We start from the raw sequence: 22,770 nt of genomic DNA on the forward strand, positions 1-22,770 counted from the left end.
TTACTCTGGAGGGAATTGGAAGTCAGTAAATTCTACAGTGTTGGGATTAAAAAAAAAAAACTCAGTTGGCTGGGCATGGTGGCTCATGCCTGTAATCCCAGCACTTTGGGAGGCCGAGGCAGGCAGATTACGAGGTCGGGAGATTGAGACCAGCCTGGCCAACATGGTAAAACCCTGTCTCTACTAAAAATACAAAAATTAGCTGGGTGTGGTGGTGTGCACCTGTAGTCCCAGCTACTCAGGAGGCTGAGGCAGGAGAATCACTTGAACTCGGGAGGCAGAGGTTGCAGTGAGCCAAGATCACGCCACTGCACTCCAGCCTGGGGACAGAGAGAGACTCCATCTCAAAAAAAAAAAAAAAAGAAAGAAAGAAAAAACAACTCAGTTCATCACTGAGAAAGGGACTCTAACAATTTCAAAGCATACTTCCTGGCTATACTGGATTAATCCAGGAGCTATTAAGACTATATTTCCTATTGTCTGTTAAGATCTGAAGCAGACTTTTATAACGGGGCTCCACAGACACATTTGGGAAACACAATCAGAAGCAAAGTCCTATAGGACTTCTTAGGCATCTCAATATCCATTTCTGTAGCTTAAGACCTCAGGTCAGGTGATGATTCTGGAAGACAATGATGGCAATGTAAAGGCCTTGGAAGATTAAATCATTCATTCTGCTATCCACCCATTCACTCAACACTTATCGTAACATATTGGATTGTGCTGGGGCAGGAATTACGGAAGTAAAAAAGTCATGGTCTCTGTCCATTTAGTGATGGACAGACATGTAAACAACCATACCACAATGTGATAAATGCTACAAGAGAGAAATGTACAAAACCCTTTGGCAATGCAGGTGTGAATCATTCTCTCTCAAAGAATCCAGGAAGCTTTCAAGGAAGGTTACATCTGGGCTAGATTTTGAAGCATAAACAGAATTTTGGTAGGTGAAAAGTGAAGAGGGAAGACATTCTAGGTAAAAGCATGTGCAGAGGTATGAAATTTGAGACTCTATGGCCAAGTCTAATTGGGACAGATCTTAGGATAGATGGGAGAGTGACAACAAATAAGGCTAGAAAGGTAGGTTGGGATCAAATGTCATGCAAAAAGGTCTGGACATTATCCTATCCCTATCAATGATGAAGAATCAAGCAAGACTTAAAATCTGGTGGTTTCCTAATGAAATATTTCAGATGTACAAAAAGGTGCAAAAAAGAATACGCTGAATGCTTATATACCTACCATCTAATTGTAGAAAGAATTATAACTACCTTTCAAACCCTCCATGAACCCCTTTTTGATTGTCTGTCCGTCTTTTCCCGGAGTATCATTCTTATACAGAGTGTTTATCCTTTTACTAAATACAAACGTGTCTCTAAATAACATATCACTTTGTGTTCTTAAATGTTACGTACATGTTACATTCTGCACCTTACTTTTTAATGAATATTATATTTGTGAGACTTATTCTGATTTGTTTAGCTCTAGTCCATCTTCAGTGTTGTATCACATTTCATTGTATAAATATACCACAATCCATTTTCCTGTTCATAGAAATGTAACTGGTTTCCTTTTGTTTTTTCTTTTGGTATTTATTTTGGATTAATACTGCAATCAACGTTGTTGTTTATACATCCTTGTTTGAGAAAGTTTCTCAAGGAAATGTACCTAGGGGTGAAGTTACTGGGTCATAAGGTTTGGGCAACTTTGACTTTATTAGCTGTTGCCAAACTGCCCTCAAAGTGATGCTGCTAACATATACTCCCACCAGCAGTGTAAAGACCTATGCTTCTGAAATCCAACTTGTGACTGAACAAATTGAATAGTGGCTGCTATAAGAAAAAGTCTGAAGGCAAAAAGAACAGTTAGGAGGCTCTTATAACATGAGAGATTATGAGACCTTGAAATAAAATAGTGGTTGTAGCATTGGGGAAGAAGAATTTACTTGAGAGATATTTAGAAGGCAGGGTTGAAAGAACCTACTGACTGGGTAGCAGACAGAGAATTTAAAGTAACTGAGATTTCTACTTTAGGCAACTAAACAGATGATGACACCATTAATTGGGAAGGTAAACATAGGAGAGAAAAGTTCTTAAATTGTAGGGGTAGGGCAATAAGGCATTTTCTTTGGAATGTCAAGTCTGAAGTACTTGTGGGACCTCTGGGTAGGGAATGACGTTCAAGAGGCAAGACCATGCTGGTAGTAAAAACTGTGAAGCCTGTTCACCTAGGCAGCTGTGAAGAATCAGATATGTAGCTTCAAAACAGTTAAGGGCAAAATAAACAGCACTTCCTACCAGTTAACACCAGTTTCTCTATTCTAGGAAAAAAACAGTCACTTACATGCCCCATGATACAAGGTACCCTCCCCTTGAACTAATTCTATATCTGACTTTCCACCTGTCTAGACTAAAGCCTTCAGTTTAAGATGGAACAAGCAGGGATGAAAGAAGACAGTTTCGTAACACTAGTCTTCAGAGAGCTACCAAACTGGTGCTTTAAATGTCTACCAACGGGGAGACGACCTGACATCCTGTTTGACAAAGGTAACAAGCTTTGGTTCCTTTAAGTTCCTATTTAGATACATTTATAGATATAATTTGCTTATATTTTGAACTCCTTGCTCTTCTAGATCTATGGAAAGGTATTTTTTAAGCAAAAGAAAAGTATTTACTGAGAAGTTATAGTGAATATATAATATATCTTCATTTTCTTCCTAATTTCAACAAAGTGTGAATAGAAGCTCAGGAACTGGGATAACTGTTTTTGTCTTTGTTTTTGTTTTTTTTTTTTTTTGAGACAGGGTCTCACTCTGTCGCCCAGGCTGGAGTGCAGTGGTGCAATCTCAGCTCACTGCAACCTCCGCCGCCTGGGTTCAAGTGATTCTCATGCCTCAGCCTCTGAGTAGCTGGGATTACAGGCATGCGCCACCACACCCAGCTCATTTTTTTGTATTTTTAGTAGAGACAGGATTACTCCATTTCAGCCAGGCTGGTCTCGAACTCCTGACCTCAAATGATCCACCCGCCTCAGCCTCCCAAAGTGCCGGGATTACAGGCGTGAGCCACCGTGCTGGGCCGGGATAATAGTTTTGATTCCACAGTTTCATCCTAGTGGTACACAGAAATAGCTGGGAATCTATTATACTACCAGAGTCAGGCCTGTTTTTCAGCAGTAACCGATCTTGGAAAATGCAAGGTTAAAACCCAAGGTAGTATCCTAATAAAACAATGTGTTGATTTCTCTATTTTTAGAAATCAAGTATAGGAAAATAGTGGCTATAGAAACCAGGCTAAACCCAGCTCCCATGCCGCACTTCAAGCCCTGCAGTAACAAGTCAACCATCCTCATCCCTTGCCTTACAGTGTAAGGAATTTTTAGCCAACCCATCATATCTGATCTTCCTCTAGACCCGTCCTGTAGCCACCAGCCACATGTAGCTCCTAAGCATCTGAAACATGGCCAGTGCAACTAAAGAACTGAATTTTAAATTTTATTAATTTAAATGAAAAAAACTAAAGTAGTTTAAATTTTGTTCCACTAAATACAATTGTATTGTTTTGGTAGGGCTACATTTCACTTTAACTGCTGCATTGTATAAGATATTACTGCTGTATTACAGTACATGTGTTGGGCAGGTGTGTTGTTTCTAGTAATGCATGTAAATACATCATCAATCTAGTTGATGTCAATGGATTCAGTTAAAATGACTTACTTTTTACATATTAATTTAACAATGTAATATATTTACTTAATATTTTATGTGATAACGTGAGTTACAGCATGGTTTCTCAACATGAGCACTACTAACATTTGGGGCTACTTTGTTGCTGTGGCTGTCCTGGGCACTGTAGAATGTTTAGCAGCATAGCTGGCCTCTACCTACTACATGCCAGTAATACATCCTCCTTTCTCCAAGTTGTGCCAACTGAAATATAGCAAATGTCCCCCAGAGGGTAAAATCATATCAGTTGAAAACCACCAAGTTACAGTTATGATTACATAAATCAGAACTGCTAATTAAAGTAAAATAATTACCACTGTGGGTTTTTTCTTTTTCTTTTTTTTTTTTTTTTGAGACAGAGTTTCGCTCTTGTCACCAAGGCTGGAGTGCAATGGCGCAGTCTCAGCTCACTGCAAGCTCCGCCTCCCGAGTTCAAGCGATTCTCCTGCCTCAGCCTCCTGAGTAGCTCGGATTACAGGCATGCACCACGTCACCCGGCTAATTCTGTGTTTTTAGTAGAGAAGGGGTTTCACTGCATTGCCCAGGCTGGTCTCGCACTCCTGACCTCAGGCGATCCACCCGCCTCAGCCTCCCAAAGTGCTGGGATTACAGGTGTAAGCCACCACCCCTGGCCCTACTATTATTTTAATTATAATTAAATTTTGTTTCTAGTTTTAAAAAGTAAGTATTGAAAGATTTTTAAATTTAAAAGTGAAGGCACACTATGGACACAGAATTGAGTGGAAATGCAGAAGATAGTACCATGTTCAGAACAGAAAAGAAAAAAAGAGACCAGGGCTGGGCGCAGTGGCTCACTCCTATAATCCCAGCACTTTGGGAGATCGAGGCGGGCAGATCACTTGAGGCCAGGAGTTGGAGACCAGCCTGGGCAACATGGCAAAACTCCGTCTCTACTAAAAATACAAAAATTAGCCAGGTGTGGTGGCGCACGCCTGTAATCCCAGTTATTCAGAAGGCTGATGCAAGAGGACTGCTTGAGCCTGGGAGGCAGAGGTTGTAGTAAGCCGAGATTGCACCACTGCACTCCAGCCTGGGCGACAGGAGTGAAACCCTAAACCCTATCTCAAAAAAAAAAAAAAAAGAGACCAGAGGAAGGTATGTTGCAAGCTTCCTCTTTTTTTTTTTTTTTTTTTTTTTTGAGACAGGGTCTCACTCTGTCCCGAGGCTAGGGTGCAGTGGCACAATCACATCTCACTGCAGCCTCAACCTCCCCAAGCTCATGTAATCCTCCTATCTCAGCCGCCTGAGTAGCTGAAACCACAGGCGCGTGCCACCAGGCCCAGCTAATTTTTGTATTTTTTGTAAATATCAGGTTGCCCAAGCTGGTCTCGAACTCCTGGGCTCAAGTGATCCTCCTGCCTTGCCCTTCCAAAGTGCTGGGATTACAGGAGTGAGCCACTATGCCCAGTCTCTCATTTTTCATGACACAATTATTAAACATTGCATGCCTGTATCAAAGCATCTCACGTATCTCATATCTATATATACCTATTATGTACCCACCAAAATTAAAAATTAAAATTAAATTAATGTTTTCATATTGATTATATGTTAGAAGAATAATATTTTGGGTACTTTGGGTAAAATAACTATTAAAAATTAATTTTATATGTTCAAAATTAAAGTTACATGTGACTCACAACGTATTTCTATTGAATTATGCTATGTAGACCTTGTTGCAAAAACGCTTTCCCTGTTACTTGTCTACCTGCTCTTCCTGTGGCCTTCAATGCAGGAAATCAATACAGTGATGCGGCCCTGGCAAGTCAAAAACACTGGAGATTGGAATTTTCTTCAAAATGCCTAGTCCTTGGTGAATAAATGCTGTCTCTAACCATCTGCTGCTGACACTTGAAGAAAGAATTACAACCAAACTGACCTTCATCCCGGAGATTTACAACCAAGGGGAACAAGCTTTTCCCTTCTGTTTCCAACACCTATGGTCTGATAACCTAGCTACTCCAAATGTAGCTTTCCAGCACTGAACTGGGAGAATAAATATTAAAGTTAGTATTTAGATTATTTAGATTGTGTTATTTGCCACCATTTACCATATACACTCTGAATTCTTGAAAAAAGAACCTAAAATCTCAAGGTGGGCTGGGCACAGTGGCTTATGCCTGTAATCCCAGCATTTTGGGAGGCCGAGACGGGCAGATCACTTGAGGTCAGGAGTTCGAGACCAGCCTGGCCAACATGGCAAAACATCGTCTCTACTAAAAACCCAAAAATTAGCCAGCCATGGTGGCACACACAACTGTAATTCCAGCTACTTGGGAGGCTGAGGCATAAGAATCGCTTGAGCCTGGGAAGCAGAGGTTGCAGTGAGCTGAGATCGTGCCACTGTACTCCAGCCTGCGTGACAGAGCAAGACTCCATCTCAAAAAAAAAAAAAAAACAACAACTCAAGGTGTAATACAAGGGGATGATTTTCTCACAATCCAGGTCAAGCCCAAGCCATGCCCACACACATTCAGGTTTTTTTTTTGGTTAATAAATGAGAATGTGGGCTGGGCGCGGTGACTCATGCCTGTAATCCCAGCACTTTGGGAGGCCAAGGCGGATGGACCACCTGGGTTCAGGAGTTCGAGATGAGCCTGGCCAACATGGTGAAACCCCATCTCTACTAAAAATACAAAAATTAGCCAGATGAGGTGGCAGGCGCCTGTAATCCCAACTATTCGGGAGACTGATGCAGGAGAATCGCTTGACCCAGAGGAGGCGGAGGTTGCAGTGAGCCAAGATCATGCCACTGCACTCCAGCCTGGGTGACAGAGTGAGATTCCGTACCAAAAAAAAAAAAAGAGACAGAAGGTGATCAATGTTATGTTCAAGTCTTCAGAAAATGAGTGTGTGAACACAGTTCTGGGTATATTTTGAGGGGATTTATTGACACTCTATAAGCTGTCAATGGGTGCCAGGCTGCAATTCTCTGCTCTGCTGTCAAACATAATGAAACCTCCCACATAAAAGAAGTGAGGGTTCTGTGAAGAAATGGTTGATTCCAGGTCTGGAGCAGGAAGTGTAGATGATAATCCTGCGACATCTTGTGCCAGAAAGCAAGAAGGCTAACAAAGACTACCAGAGTCTTGTCAAAAAGATGTAGGCTGGACGCAGAGGCTTGTACCTGTAATCCCAGCTGCTCAGGGGACTGAGGCGGGAGGATGGCTTGAGGCCAGGAGTTCGAGATCAGCATGGGCAACACAGCAAGACTCCATCTCTAAAAAATAAAGTAGCTGGGCATGGTGGTATGAACCTGTAGTCCCAGCTACTCAGGAGACTGAGGCAGAAGGATCCCTCGAGCCCAGGAGTTCGATGTTGCAGTGAACCATGATCACATCACTGCACTCAAGCCTGAGCGACAGAGCAACCCCATCTCTAAAATAAAACATAAAAAAGACATGGGGCCAGGCACAGTGGCTCACGCCTGTAATCCCAGCACTCTGGGAGGCAAGGCGGGTGGATCACTTGAAGTTAGGAGTTCTAGACCAGCCTGGCCAACATGGTGAAACCCCATCTCTACTAAAAATACAAAAATTACCTGGGAGTGGTGGGCGCCTGTAGCCCCAGTTACTCAGGAGGCTGAAGCAGGAGAATCACTTGAACCCAGGAGGCGGAGGTTGCAGTGAGCTGAGATCGTGTATCTGCACTCCAGCCTGGGCAGCAGAGCGAGACTCCATCTCAACAACAACAACAACAAAAAAGACATGGAATCCAGTATGAATGTACACCCATGAATGTCCAAAGAAAATGATTTGAGCATGGCTGGGCGTGGTGGCTCACGCCTATAATCCCAGCACTTACGGAGGCCGAGGCAGGTGGATCACAACGTCAGGAGTTTGAGACCAGTCTGGCCAATATGGTGAAACCCCGTCTCTACTAAAAATACAAAAATTAGCCGGGTGTGGTGGTGGGCGCTTGTAATTCCAGCTACTTGGGAAGCTAAGGCAGGAGAATCGCTTGAACTTGGGAGGCAGAGGTTGCAGTGAGCCGAGATCGTGCCACTGCACTCCAGCCTGGCGACAGAGTGAGACTCTGTCTCAAAAAAAAAAAAAAAAAAAAAGATTTGAGCACAAGAATAATAAACTGAAATACATAACATGCTGAGTTCATGATACTAAAAAAGAGAAAAATTTCATTAGATACCATTTCTGATTGATTTTTGTACATCAAACTTGTATCCTACAACTCTGCTGAGCTCATTTATTCTAGTAACTTGTAGACTCCATCAGGTTTTCTAAATTGACAATCATGTTGCTGCAAGTAAAGACAGTTTACATCTTCCTTTACAATTTAGATGGCTTTTATTTCTTTTTCTTGCCTGATTGCACTGTTTAGAACCTCCAGCATAATGCTGAATAGAGGTGGTGACAGCAGACATCCATCTTGTTCCTAATCTTAGGGAAAAGCACGCAGTCTTTCAGCATTAAATATGACAGCTTGTAGGTTTTGCACAGATGCCCTTTATCATACAGAGGAAGCTCTCTTCTATTCCTAGTATGCTGAGAATTTTTATCAGAAATGGATTTTGCATTTCTCAGATGATGGATAAACAAAACCCTGAAGTCAAAACACACTTCCATATGTACATATTATCTATAAAAGGATACCAAAGACAGGGAAAAAAAGGAAATATTTAAATTCTTTTAGAGGCAGGTTCTAGCTCTGTCACTCAGGCAGGAGCGCAGTGGCACAATCATAGCTCACTGCAGCCTTGAACTCCTGGGCTCAAGGGATCTTCCTGCCTCAGCCTCCTGAGTAGCTGGGATTACAAGCATGCACCAGTACTCCTAGCTAAGCTTTTCTTTTCAGTAGAGATGGGGGTCTCACTATGTGGCCCAGGCTGGTCTTGAACTCCTGGGCTCAAGTGATCCTCATGCCTCAGCCTCCTAAGCTGCTGGGATTACAGGTGTGAGCCACCACACCTGGCCAGGAATTCTTGGTCTAGGAGAAAGCTCTTGGTTAAAAGGACAGACAGAAGGAAGTACATTCTCTCTCTCTCTCTCTCTCTCTTTTTTTTTTTTTTTTTTTTTTGAGACAGGGTCTCTCTCTATTGCCCAGGCTGGAATGCAGTGGTGCCACCACAGCTCGCTGCAGCCTCAACCTCCCAGGCTCAAATGATCTTCCCATCTCAGCATCCCAAGTAACTGGGACTACAGGTGCACGTCACATACCCAGCTACTTTTTTAAATGTTTTTGTAGAGATGGGGTCTTGTATGTTGCCAGGGCTGATCTCAAACTCCTGGGCTCAAGTGATCTTCCTGCCTCGGCCTCCCAAAGTGCTGGGATTATAGGCGTAAGCCACTGCACCAGGCCCACATCAGTCTTGACCAGAGCCAAAGGCTCCCAGACTTTAGTGAGCAAATGTCCTCAGCAGACCTGTTTGGTTTGGTGCGTAAAGTGGTCCCCTCCTTCCCGGAGCTGCCATGACTGCACAAAAGGGAGGGAACACTTCAGAAACTTCCCAGGTGCAAATAATGGGTGGTAAGCAGTGGTCTGTCATCTCCTGGAGCTTTTCAAAAGAGCTATAATGGAAGTATAGCTATTCTGGTCACATTCTAACTCGGGTACAGCAGGATTGTACCCTGGCCTTCAGCTGTTCCTCCAAAGTCTTAATTGCAATGGCATTCTACCCTATGAAATCTTGCCATGTGGTAGTACTACCAATGTAGGTCAGAAACTAAGGACACAGGGTTGGGTACACAGGAAATGAACAATAAATAATTAATGACTAATTAAGTGTTGGCCAAGATGAACCTTCATTTCCCGGCTGGATGAAGTGCTGTGTATCTATTATGAATAGTCAGTAAATTGGGCTGAAGGGGCATAAAAACACAGGATTAAGATATGATACCCGAGCTGGGCGTGGTGGCTCACACCTGTAATCCCAGCACTTTGGGAGGCCAAGGCAGGAGGATCATGAGGTCAGGAGTTCAAGACCAGCCTGGCCAACATAGTGAAACTCCGTCTCTACTAAAAATACAAAAAGTTAGCCGGGCATGGTGGCGGGTACCTGTAATCCCAGCTACTCGGGAGGCTGAGGCAGGAGAATTGTTTGAACTCAGGAGGCAGAGGTTGCAGTGAGCCAAGATCACACCACTGTGCTCCAGCCTGGGCCACAGAGCGAGACTCTGTCTCAAAAAAAAAAAAAAAAGATACGATACCCTGCTAACATAAACCGTTATCTCACAGCATTTTATTATCACCTGTTTACTCAGTCAAAAACTTAAAATGGGCTGGGTGCGGTGGCTTATGCCTATAATCCCAGCACTTTGGGAGGCCGAGGCAGGTGGATCACCTTAGATCAGGAGTTCGAGACCAGCCTGGCCAACATGGTGAAACCCCGTCTCTACTAAAAATACAAAAATGAGCTGGGCATGGTGGCAGGCTCCTGTAATCCCAGCTACTTGGGAGGCTGAGGCAGGAGAATCGCTTGAACCTGCGAGGTGGAGGTTGCAGTGAGCCAAGATCACAGCTATTACACTCCAGCCTAGGTGACAGTGAAAATCCATCTCAAAAAAAAAAAAAAAAAAAAAGCAAACTTATAATGCCATCTTATAATTCTTATAATTTATTTCCCTATTAAAACTTATTTTTACAAGGTTAATTACAGCTTTTTGTTACTTTCTACACTCTGCAAGTATTCGTAACCATGATAAATAAGGATAAGAAAATAAGAAACCATTTGACATAGATGGCTATTTGAGAGTCTCATTTCTGTTTAGTTTAGTTCAACTCTAACCAAAATGATTCAAGTCCTGCTCCAATAGTAGACTTCATCTAGTATATCTGCATTATTTATCACACTAGGAGGAGGAGAAGGGACAGATTTTTATAAAAAGGGATACAAATCAATAAGAGGCTTTAACAGATGGGGTCTTGGTTGAGGGCCCCAGCAGCCTCTTCAGGTCCAGTGCTGAAAATCATTCAGCTGAAAGACCCAGGGACATTTGTTCAGCAAGTCACTTAGGGAATCAGCATCTTGCTAAATGTAACCTACCTGGTCTGAGACAAAATGATGGCTACACATCTGCTCAGAGTAGTCAGCAGTGAGCACACTAAGTTGCAGCCACAGAGCAATATTCAGTATTATTGCTGCAAGTAATGCAATACTACTATCACCATGTATGCCCCCTTCCTGAGCAACTGAATAGAGATAGTTTGGCATTTGGGAAGGCATTTCAAGTTGACCATGAGAAGCAAACACTGTATACACACAGTTCAGATCACTGGAGACGTGGCAGAAAGGGAGGAAGGAGGCACAGTAGCTGTCTGCAATAGTTTAGCATTCATGGTTCACCTATCCCTGGGTCCCTGATATTGTGCAAATCTGCCTTACAAACCCACAGTGTGATGAAGCTTTCTGCCCCAGTCTAAGTACAGAGGGGAGTGGAAGTTGTCTCTGAAGTTAGTTCTGGGACAGCAATATCCCTTGGCACTATTGCAAGTCCTTTTTTTTTTTTTTTTTTTTTGAGACGGAGTCTCGCTCTCTCACCCAGGTTGGACTGCAGTGGCACTACCTCGGCTCACTGCAAGCTCCACCTCCCGGGTTCATGCCATTCTCCTGCCTCAGCCTCCGGAGTAGCTGGAACTACAGGCGCCCACCACGGCGCCTGGCTAATTTTTTTGTATTTTTAGTAGAGACGGGGTTTCACCGTGTTAGCGAGGATGGTCTCGATCTCCTGACCTCGTGATCCGCCCGCCCCGGCCTCCCAAAGTGCTGGGATTACAGTGTGAGCCAGCACGCCTGGCCTATTCCAAGTCTTATAATACACAGTTCAACAGTAGTAGGGCCCAGACAGAAGAAATAACAAAGCTTTAAAATGAAAGCTCAATCCAGAGAACTCAAATAATTAGATTCAATCCATAAAGTGGGGAAATGATCTATGTCTGATGGCTATCAATGAGGTCCAAGATCTTAATTGTGCTTTCCTTCTCAAAATAACCCTCTCATCAGTATATAGATTTATATAATGCAAACACCTAAGGAAAACCATCAGCAACCTACCCCCCACCCCCATCCCAGCTCCCACTCAAAAACAAACAAACAAAACAAACCTGGGAATTTGTAAGAAATATGAAGAAAATACAAATCCTCCAATTATAACTCCTGTCATTCAAATTATTTTCAAAAGGTTGCCACACATAAAGTATGGAAACTATGGTCAGAAGTTGAATCTCTTACCCTTCCCTGTGAAGAACTATTCTTTTTCTGATTTTTAAAATTAAGGAATAACTTTCATACAGCAAAACTTACCCTTTTTAGTGTTGTAATGGTTAATTTTATTATCAACTTGACTGGATTAAGGGATCCCTTAATGGTAAATCATTATTTCTGAGTGTGTTGACAGGGGTATTTCCAGGAGACAGATTAGCATTTGAATCCATACACTGGGTAAAGAAGATCCACCCTCACCAATATAAGCAGCCATCATCTAGTCTGTTGAAAGCCCACCTGAATAGAACAAAAGGCAGAGGAAGGGCAAATTCTCTGTTTCTCTTTTCTTGAGCTGGGACGTCCATCTTCTCTTGCCCTTAGACATCAGACATCAGGAGCTCCTGGTTCTCCAGTTTTTGGACTCTAGGACTTACACTAGTACCACCCAAGTTCTCAGTCCTTCAACCTTTAATTGGAAGCCTACAGCATCAGCTCCCTGATTCTACAGCTTGCAGACAGCATATTGTGAAACAACTTGGCCTCCATAATCATGTGAACTAATTCCCATAGCCTATTTCCTCTTGTATAACTATGTATATTTTATTGGTCTGTTTTCTGAAAAACCCTGATACAAGTATACAGTTCTGCAAGTTTTGAAAAATGCATACATCCAGATAATCACCACCACAGTCAAGATACAGAACAGTTTCATCACCTCAAAAGTTCCCCTGTGCCCATTTGTAATCAACCTCTCCTTCCAACCCCAGCCTCTGAAAACAACTGACCTATACCCTGTCCCTATAGTTTTGCCATTTCCAGAATGTCATATAAATGGAATCATACAGCATGTAACCTTTTGGATCTGGATAGTTTCATACTGCATAATGCAACTGAATTAATCCAGGTTGTTGCATGTATCAGTAGTTCATTCCTTTTTACTGTAGAATAGTATTTCATTATATAGATGTACCATAGTTTATCTGTTCCGCCGTTGAGAGACACTTGGGTTGTCCACAGTTTTGACAGTGTATAAATAAAGCCACTATAAACATTTGTCCAATCCAAGTTTTTATTTCACTTGGGTAAACATTTAGGAGTGGACTGCTGGAAGGTCTACTTTGGAAAATATCTGCCTGACTCTATTTATGCTATTTCTATTTAGCAGATATGCAATTTCCCAAGGGAATAGCTGGGTTATTTTCTGTGATGCTTCTCTTTCTGGTCCATCAATATCATTTCTCTGCCCTCCCGGGTATAGGAAACACCTCCAAATCAGTATGACTTACAAACTTCATTAATACTTTGTTTACTTTCAGCCCTAGTTCATTAATACAAATGCTAAATATGCCTGTTCCTCATCAGCACCCTGCAGCATCCCAGGAAATAACAATCTTTCCCAACCACCCCAGCCCCCACACTGGCATTTAGGTTTACAGTCGTTTTGCAGTTCATTTTGCATCAACAGCTTCTTCTCTGTGTTCTTAATAATCAATTTTCAATTGAGCCAAGAATCTCCAGTATATCATGGGGTTTTTTGTTTGTTTGTTTGTTTGTTTTTTTAGACAGAGTCTTGCTCTGTGGCCCAGGCTGGAGTGCAGTGGTGCAATCTTGGCTCGGCTGACTGCAACCTGCACCTCCCGGCTTCAGGCGATTCTCCTGCTTCAGTCTCCCAAGTAGCTGGGACTACAGGTGTGCACCACCACACCCAGCTGATTTTTGTATTTTTAGTAGAGACGGGGTTTCACCATGTTGGCCAGGCTGGTCTCGAACTCCTGACCTCAAGTGATCCGCTGCCCTCGGCCTCCCAAAGTGCTGGGATTACAGGCGTAAGCCACTGCGCCTGGCCATCCAGTATATTATCTTTAATAACTATAGGAAAACCAAACAGAGCTTTCCCCAACTCATTCATAGTTAGTCTACTTTTTGCCTATCATGGCAAAAAATGTGGCCACTTAGAAAACTGGAAGTGTTAATTCCCTAACATCAGCCTGTAAGCAAGTTTGGACTTTCTTACCCCTAAAACAGATAGTATCCCATCCTAAAAACAGTCTTTCAAATACATGCTGTATTAATTAAACTAGAGAACAGAATAAAATGTCAGCATAATTAACATACGAAGCAACAGTATGGCCTGATTAATCACCATGAAGAGCAATCGAATAAAATACTATGCATTTTTATGGAGCAATTTAATCTGGCAAGTAATTAATCACAGAAACACTAAGCAAAACAAATGGATTTCCCTTTAAGGAAGTCACATTTATCATTTGTAATGTATCCCTAACTCTAATTTGTTATCCCAATTCAAAATTGTCTAGGAGACAATGAATTGACAGGCTTAGTAGAACACTGATTTCTGATGAAAAAGAACATCCAGCTTTTCAAATCAAGTTATAGTCCTGCAGCACTCAAAGAGCTCAGGTTTGTGGGGCACAGGTATGTGGCATTAGGCATGGAAGGCTTAACCTAAATCTAAATCTAGGTCAGTTTAGTCAAATCTATAGATAATTAAATGACTTGTGAAAATATTTAGTATTAAGAGTAACAATTATAGATCACAGATATTACCAAAACCCCAAAGGGAGGACCCTCAGCAGAAGAAAACAGAGCTTTTGGTCTTCAGAACAAGCAAAAAGGGGGAGGGGGCATATCAACGCAGTGAGATTTAACTCAAAGAAATTCCTTTGTTCCCTCCTTCCCTCCCTTTCTTCTCTCCTTCTCTCCGTCCCTTCCTTTCTTTTTGTCTTAAACAATGACCCATTTTCCTTGAGCCCCCAACAGCCTCACCAGTTTGAAGAACACCAACAGGCTGATGTTTTGAATGGTCATTCAAAGGCAGAGTGACACACATTAGCTAAGGCTATCTTCATATCTCCTTCTTCCCAGCTCCCTCTCTGCTTGGCTACATTCGAGACTAGATGAACAGCCCTTTCTTTGCCAACGAAGCTCACAGCACTTTATAAGCCTTTCCCTTAATAGTCCCATCTCTCGCTGACTTTATTTCTCTCTGTGCTGTTCTTAGAGGGCTTTGCTTCTCTTCTTAGCAGACCCCTGTAGGCTGAAGCACATGGCAAAGTTCCAGGCTTCTGGTGGCTGCGGCACAGTGGTTTGTTCTTTACTGACCTGCTTGATCTCCAATGCTGGATCCTACGAAACATTCAATACTTACTAAACTGTACCGGGAGAGTTGTGCTTTTCACACTCCACCTTGTCTCTGCTCACTATTTAAGAAATGCTGTTGCAGATATCCTATTTATCCCAGAGCATTTCTTCTAGATTTTAACCCTTACCTTTTTCCTTCAAACCTTTTACTCTAGTATTTCTGGGCTGTACCACTGGCTTAACGTAGATTCTTATCCTCTGCCTGGCCCTTCAGTCAATTTCTCTTCTGGAGAGTCCGCCTGGCATTTTTGTTCAGTGTTTCTCTGAGCTTCTGTCTCTGAATTGCCCTTGTTGGCTCCCTCCATCAGCCCAATAACTGAAGTACCATTACTCCCAGCTAATCCTAGATCAGGCCCAACCAATATCCTAAATCCTCACTTCTCTAAGAGAAAGGAACTCTATGTTTGTTTATCTATTTTCGAGAAAGAGTCAATGTGTCACTAAGATGAGTGAGACATAGATGCTTCCTGCCTTCAAAGAGCTCACAGCCTAGTCAAGAGGACAACAGATAAGTAGACAGTTGCTGCTGTAGTGTGGCCAGGCCTGGCTCTAAGGATGAAGTGATGCTCAAAATGCACTATTTCAGGAGGTGAGTTGACAAGTTGGGAAAGGACATTCTAGGCAGGGAGGAATGGTATATCCAAAAGGCCTGGACTATAAAACAGTTTGTCCAGAGAATTCTAAGTGTCTCTGGTTTGTCCAGAGAACTCCAGGTGGTCTGGCATAGCTGCAGTGAGGTGACAGATAAGGACAGAGATTCTAGAAATAAGATGAAGAATGGCAATGCAGGCTACCCTACAGAGCTTAAATGTTTTTCTGTGGTGATGAGAGGGGCCAGCGAGGGGACAAGCACAGAGAGAAAAACGAGACAGAAAGAGGCAGGCAAGATGACAGGTGAGATCAGAGACTATGAGAATCCAAGTGAAAAAGAAATATGAACAATAAATAAACTGTGGTACAGTTATGCAATAATAAAATACTGCTCAGCAATAAAAAGGAACTAACTACTAGATACTTGCACAAGCAATGTTCAGAGCAGTATCATTCATAGTAGCCAAAAGGCAGAAGCAACCCAAGGGTCACCAACAGATAACTGGATAAACAAAATGTGGTATATACATACAATGGAACATTATTCAGCCTTGAAAAGGAAGGAAATTCTGACATATGCTACAACATGGATGAACCCTGAGGATATTATGCTAAGCAAAATAAGCCAGTCACAAAAAGATAAATACACTATGATTCCACTATAAGGTATCTAAAATAGTTAAATTTATAGAGACTCAAAGTAGAATGGTGGTTGGCAGGGGCTGGGGAAGGGGAAAATGGGGAGTTGTTTAATCAGTACAATTTCAGTTTTGCAAGATGAAAAAGTTCTAGAGATCTGTTGCACAACAATGTCAATATACTTAATGCTACCAAACTTAACAAATCATTAGGATGGCAAATTTTATATTTCTTACCACAATTTAAAATCTTAAAAACGTTTTTTAAAAGGATTGAACTACTGATATATACCACAAAGTAGATGAATCTCAAAAACCTGATATTGAGTGAAAGAAGTCAGACACAAAAGAAGGCACACTATATGACTCTGTTCATATGTAGTTCCAGAACAGGTACAACTAATTTGTGGTGACAGAAATCAGGAGAGGGCATAGTTCTGGGGAAAGGGACTACTGACTGGAAAAGAAGGGTCATGAGGGAACTTTCTAGGTTGAACTTTCTGGGGTTCTATGTCCTGATCTGGATGGTGATTTACATAGGTGGTATACATATATAAAAAGCTGTTTAGAATACCGCTACTGGGTATTTATCCAAAGAAAAATAAATCAGTATATCAAAGAGATACCTGCACTCTTATGTTTACTGCAGCTATTCACAATAGCAAAGATATGGAATCAACCTAAGTGTCTACGAATGGACAAATGGATAAAGAAAATGTGGTATATACACATGATGGAATACTATTTGGCCATAAAAAGGAATAAAATCAAGTCATTTGCAACAACACAGATGGAAAAGGAGGTCATTATGTTAAGTGAAATAAGCCAGGCACAGAAAGACAAATTTCGCATGTTCTCACTCATAGGTAGTAGCTAAAAAGTTCACCTCATGAAGGTACAGAGTAGAATGACACCAGAGGCTGGCTGGGAAGGCAGGGGTGCAGATAGAGTGGATAAAGAGAGGTTCGTTAATGGATATAACATATAGTTAGATAGAAGGAATACGTTCTAATGTTCAATAGCAGAGTAGGGTGACTACAGTTACCAACAATGTACTATATATTTTAAAATAGCTAGAAGAGAGGACTTGAACTGTTCCCAACACAGAAATGATAAATACTCAAGGTGATGATGGACACCCAAGATACCCTGACTTGTTCATTATACAGTCTATGCATGTAACCAAATATCACGTGTACCCTACAAAAACATATAAATATTATACATCAATTTTAAAAAGGTGTCCAGTTACACACCTTCTAAGATTTTTAAATTTTACCATATATCAATATCTCAATTAAAAAGGAAATAAAGATTGAGTTTCAGTGAGTTGGTAACATTCTATTCCTTTTTTGTTTTTCTGAGAAAGAGTCTTACTCTGTCACCCAGGCTGGAGTGCAGTGGCACAATCATACCTCATTGCAGCCTCGATCTCCTGGGCTCAAGTAATCTTCCCACCTCAGCCTCCAGAGTAGCTGGGACTATTACAGGTGCATACCACTATACCCAGCTAATTTTTTAAAAATTATTTTTAGTAGAAACAAGGTCTTGCTATGTTGCCCAGGCTGGTCTCAAACTCTTGAGTTCAAGTGATCCTCTTGCCTTGGCCTCCCAAAGTGCTGGGATTACAAGTGTAATACAGCCACCGTGCCCAGCCCCTTCTATTTCTTAAGGTGAGTGGTTCATCTATGTTCATTCTATGTCAAGTTTTATTATATATATTCATTAATAGAATTTATCAAATAGTTCATTTTTTGCATAAGTAGGAAATTAGTTCAGATTAATTGGGTAAAAGGAACAGATTTTAATCCATCCCTATCTGAATCCCATCTAGTAAATTATCTCACAAGAAAGATGAAGTACATTCAAAACTGGTCAGAAATGAGATCCAACTACAGATAGCTACTCCTGCTGCCTTTTCAGATGTGTCACCAAGATGAATGCATGTGAGGGGAGAACAATGGGAACCAACTGTCTTTGGAGCTTCCTTGAGATTGAGAATTTTCATCATATGAAAATGGTGTCTAATGAGAGAGAAATTAATGTCCTTCGGTACACTGGGTAGTGAAAATGCATTAGTACACTCCATGTTTGACATCCCACTCACATGTTAGTGGTTTTAAAAGAAATTATATAGAAACCAATTAGAAAAAAAAACTCTCATTAAACCTCTTACAACAGGAGCCCACTTTGCTAGAGCATGCACAATATCTGGACTCCAGGGAGAAATGTATAATCGAGGTAAAATTAATCAAAACCTACATGAAAAGAACAGCAAGAGACAGTTTAAGAAGAAAAGGCCTCAGTGTTAGAAATTCCTGAAATCTGATCACTGAGTGCATAATTCTGCTTATTATTATCTTCCACTATGTAACACTATATTTATAATTAGGCTGATAGCACAGTAAAATGACAGTAAAATGCAGACACAATTCATTTAACAATTAATCTACTGGAGCTAAAAAATCTTACCATGTCATTAATTGCCTGCTTAAAATGCTGCCTCAGTTTCAGTTTCAGATTATCACACCTTCTTTAAGAATGCAGAGAAATGCACACACTAGCAAGGCTTGTTTAGGGGAGAATTTGCAAGCAGCAGTGAGTTGCACACTTTTCCCTCCCTAAGGACCCCAACTCAGAAGAGCCTGTATTGTAACCCCCAAGCTTACTACTAATTAAAAGAGAAAACAGTGAAGAGCATCTTCTTTCTCAGTAAAATTCTCCCACCTACTCTCACTCCAAAAATGTCTTTTTTTACTGCCCTTTACTTGTTATGGTCTAATTTCTCAACAAAAGAACTAATGCTTGCTACAATCTTATTTTATTTTTTCAAATTATCCAAATGGTGAATCCCTCTGTTGCGGTTTTGGGAGAGTAGGAGGCTACAGGAAGATTTAAACCACCCTATGAAGGTTGTCATCCCTGACTTTTCCATAAAAGAGTCTTATTTTTCTAGTCTAGCCCTGATGATTCCCCCACCCACAGATTTCTTCACAAATTCATTCTTCACAAAGAGCTTTGCAGTTGATTCTTAAGTAAGGAATTTTTTCAGTCTTCAAGGCCATTTCATATAACAGCAGGCCAAAGCCCAGAAAGGGGAGAGATTAGTCCCAAATTATCCACCAAATCAGTAGCAGAGTCAGGAATAGATCAAAGCATCTGGATAAAGATGTAGAAGGCGTATTTATTAAATGTGCTGATGATACAAAGCTGCAAAAGATAACAAATACACAGAATGACATAATCAGGATTCGAAAAATACCCTGAGAAGCTAGAATGATGGGCTGAAACCAACAAAATACATTTAACAAAAATAAAGTGTTGCATATAGGTTAGTTTAAAAAGAAAAAAGCGAACTGTAGATGTTCAGAGGGGAGATTCACCAAAATAACAATAGTAGCTATCTTGAAGGGTGAGATTTTAGATAATTTTATTTTACTTTGGTCTTTGTGCTTTTCTGCATTGCTTTTTTTTTTTTTTTGAGACAGAGTCTTGCTCTGTCGCCCAGGCTAGAGTGCAGTGGCGTGATCTCAGCTCACTGCAAGCTCCGCCTCCCAGGTTCATGCCATTCTCCTGCCTCAGCCTCCCAAGTAGCTGGGACTACAGGCGCCCGCCACCATGCCTGGCTTTTTTTTTTTAGTAGAGACGGGGTTTCACCGTGTTAGCCAGGACGGTCTCAATCTCCTGACCTCGTGATCTGCCCACCTCGGCCTCCCAAAGTGTTGGGATTATAGGCGTGAGCCACCACGCCCAGCCTGCTTACATTTTCTTAATAATAAGCAAGTAGCATTAAAATAAAATAAAATAAAATATGGCCAGGAGTAGCGGCTCATGCCTGTAATCCCAACACTTTGGAAGGCCAAGGTGGGCGGATCACCTGAGGTCAGAAGTTCAAGACCATCATGGCCAACATGGTGAAACCCCATCTCTACTAAAAATACAAAAATTAGCTGGGTGTGGTGGCACGCACATGTAGTCCCAGCTACTTGGGAGGCTGAGGCGGGAGGATTGCTTGAACCTCGGAGGAGGAAGTTGCAGTGAGCCGAGATCATGCCACTGCACTCTGGCCTGGCAATAGAGAGAGACTCCGTCTCAAAAAACAAAACAAAACAAAATAATAATAATAAATAAAATAAAAAGCAGCACCACACAAACCAAAACAAAATACCACTATCAACTGAACAAGTGTAGGACGGGAGAGAACTAGCTTGAAGGCAGGTCACTTTAAGCAGATTTGAAGGTTTTAGTGGGACTCAAGTTTGCTATGAACCAACAATGTGATTCAGCTGCTGAATAACATAATGCAATTGGAGGCTGCAAATAAAATATGTCCATATCATGCGTATAAATAGTCTCCTTGTAATCTGAGCTACATATCTAGGTTCCAGTTCTAGATGTCATTCAATGCAGGAAACATTCACTGAATGCTTATTTGGTATAAGGCAGACCCTAACACCATATTTTAGGAGATAAATTAAGAAGTAAGAATATGTCCAAAGGACAATCATAGTATGTCAGAGATTTTGAAACCATAGCATATGAAGAATAGCTGAGAGAGAAAGAATGTTCAGCAGTAGTACACATGTTACTCCTTTGAAGAAGTTAACATTTAGAAAACAGGGTAAATTTTTTAGTGTTGTAACTAAAGGCAGAAATGGAATCAACAGGTTCAGGTTATAAAGAGAAAGACTGCAACATATGAGATACTCATCATTTAAAAGAATGAACGGGCTGGGGGCCGTGGCTCAGCCTGTAATCCCAGCACTTTGGAAGGTCAAGGCGGGCAGATCACCTGAGGACAGGAGTTCGAGACCAGCCTGGCCAACATGGTGAAATCCCATCTCTACTAAAAATGCAAAAAATTAGCTGGGCATGGTGGCAGGTGCCTGTAATCCCGGCTACCCAGGGAGGCTGAGGCAGGGGAATTGCCTGAACTCAGGAGGCGGAGGTTGCAGTGAGCCGAGATTGTGCTACTGCATTCCAGCCTGGGCAACAGAGCAAGACTCCCTCTCAAAAAAAATATAAATAAATAAAAAATGAATGAATGGTCTGGAACCTAAAGTATTAAGCACTGTTTCTCTAAGTATTCAAACAGAAGCTGAATATATCTCCAACAAATGAGATTTATGCTTTGGGAAGGAGACTGACATAGATGGCCTCTTAGGTTCTTTCAGTGTTTAAGGTTCTGTGATCCAGGAACTACTAACCTGCAGGGGCAAGGCCCAATAGAAAAGACGAGCTCTGGTACCTTAGCCATTCTGATATAAACCTGATAATTTATTTTTTATTATTTTATTTTATTTTTTGGAGACAAGGTCTCACTCTGTCGCCCAGGCTGGAGTACAGTGGTGTGATCATAACTCACTGCAGCCTCGAACTCCTGGGCCCAAGTAATCCTCCTGCCTCAGCCTCCAGAACAGCTGAGACTACAGGCATGTGCTACCATGCCCAGCTAATTATTTTTTTATTTTTTGTATGTTGTCCAGGCTAAACTAGTGATCCTCTTGCCTCAGCCTCCCAAAGCGCTGGGATTACAAGTGTGAACCACCACATGCAGCCAAACATGAGAATTTAGAGTGATTGAATATCTGAGTTATATGGCCAGAGCTCTACTCTAACTTTTGGGAAAGATATGTGGAGAGGGAAAAATAAGGGATAAGATGAAAAACTGCACATGGTTTTAAAATAATTTATTTTTTAAGTACCCTAGATATAGAATGGAAAAGAGAAAGGAATTAGGGACCTAAACTATGCCTGTTTATACACTTTGTGGCTAGACCTTATAAAAGTTATAACTAGTAGCCAGTATTTTATAATTCAATGGCTACATTTCCTAGGAAGAGTTCCTTTGGGGAAAAAAATTAACCTTTTCTCAGGTGAAAACAAAATTTTTTTTCCTACCTTGGAATTAATAATAATTAGGGAGTAGCACAACCCTAAAGGATCAGGGATAGTTATGCCAGCCAAAGCAGCCCATCTCCAGAGAGCCAGAGGCTCGGGAGAGCTGGCCGGGAAAGAACAAACGCCCAGGAATGATAGGGTTTGGATTGGTATATAGACTCTAGCCCCTTCTCATCCCTATGACCCCATTATAGAATGAGTCCACTGGAAATACCTTTCTTCTACACTGCTTCTCATTCACTCTCCCCCTCTCAATCTCTCTCTTCCCATAATTTTGATGCTTACCTAAAGAAATTGGAAATAACATATGGTAGGTCCTGCTAATTAAAAGCTTAGCAGAATAAAAGGCATATGTCAGATGGCTCACTTCAGACACCCATAAAAAGTTAAAGCTAAGACTAAAAATTAAAGTTAATTTATCATACTATAAAATTATAGGTAGGAGATCCAATCAATTACTAATGGCACAAGTGCAAACCCAAGGCCTCTGCTGTCTAAATACATATTTACAGAAATAATAAAGTGAGACAGTGGACCTAAAGAGAAGGAGAGAATGTACTCTCCTGCCATCAGGG

The 22,770-nt window shown here is 41.4% G+C and overlaps 1 protein-coding gene and 1 long non-coding RNA gene across 19 annotated transcripts in view, besides 1 other annotated feature; one reads left to right on the top strand and one right to left on the bottom strand.

Moving 5' to 3' along the window:
* Window positions 1-22,770, bottom strand: part of ARMH3 (armadillo like helical domain containing 3) — a 210,575-nt gene that overhangs the window by 59,006 nt on the left and 128,799 nt on the right. The gene's annotated exons all lie outside the window — the stretch shown is intronic.
* LOC124902492 (uncharacterized) lies at window positions 42-5,767 on the top strand. The gene is made up of 2 exons (XR_007062269.1): window positions 42-2,546; window positions 5,481-5,767. It is a non-coding gene; the product is annotated as an uncharacterized LOC124902492 (long non-coding RNA).
* Window positions 4,056-4,105: a silencer, noted in NCBI's record as "silent region_2735". NCBI's record gives its function as "represses an Ori minimal core promoter by ATAC-STARR-seq in GM12878 lymphoblastoid cells {active_cell/tissue: GM12878}" and the evidence as "EXISTENCE:reporter gene assay evidence [ECO:0000049][PMID:35858748]".

The sequence above is a fragment of the Homo sapiens genome, chromosome 10 (assembly GCF_000001405.40).
Source record: "Homo sapiens chromosome 10, GRCh38.p14 Primary Assembly".
Taxonomy (NCBI): Eukaryota; Metazoa; Chordata; class Mammalia; order Primates; family Hominidae; genus Homo; species Homo sapiens.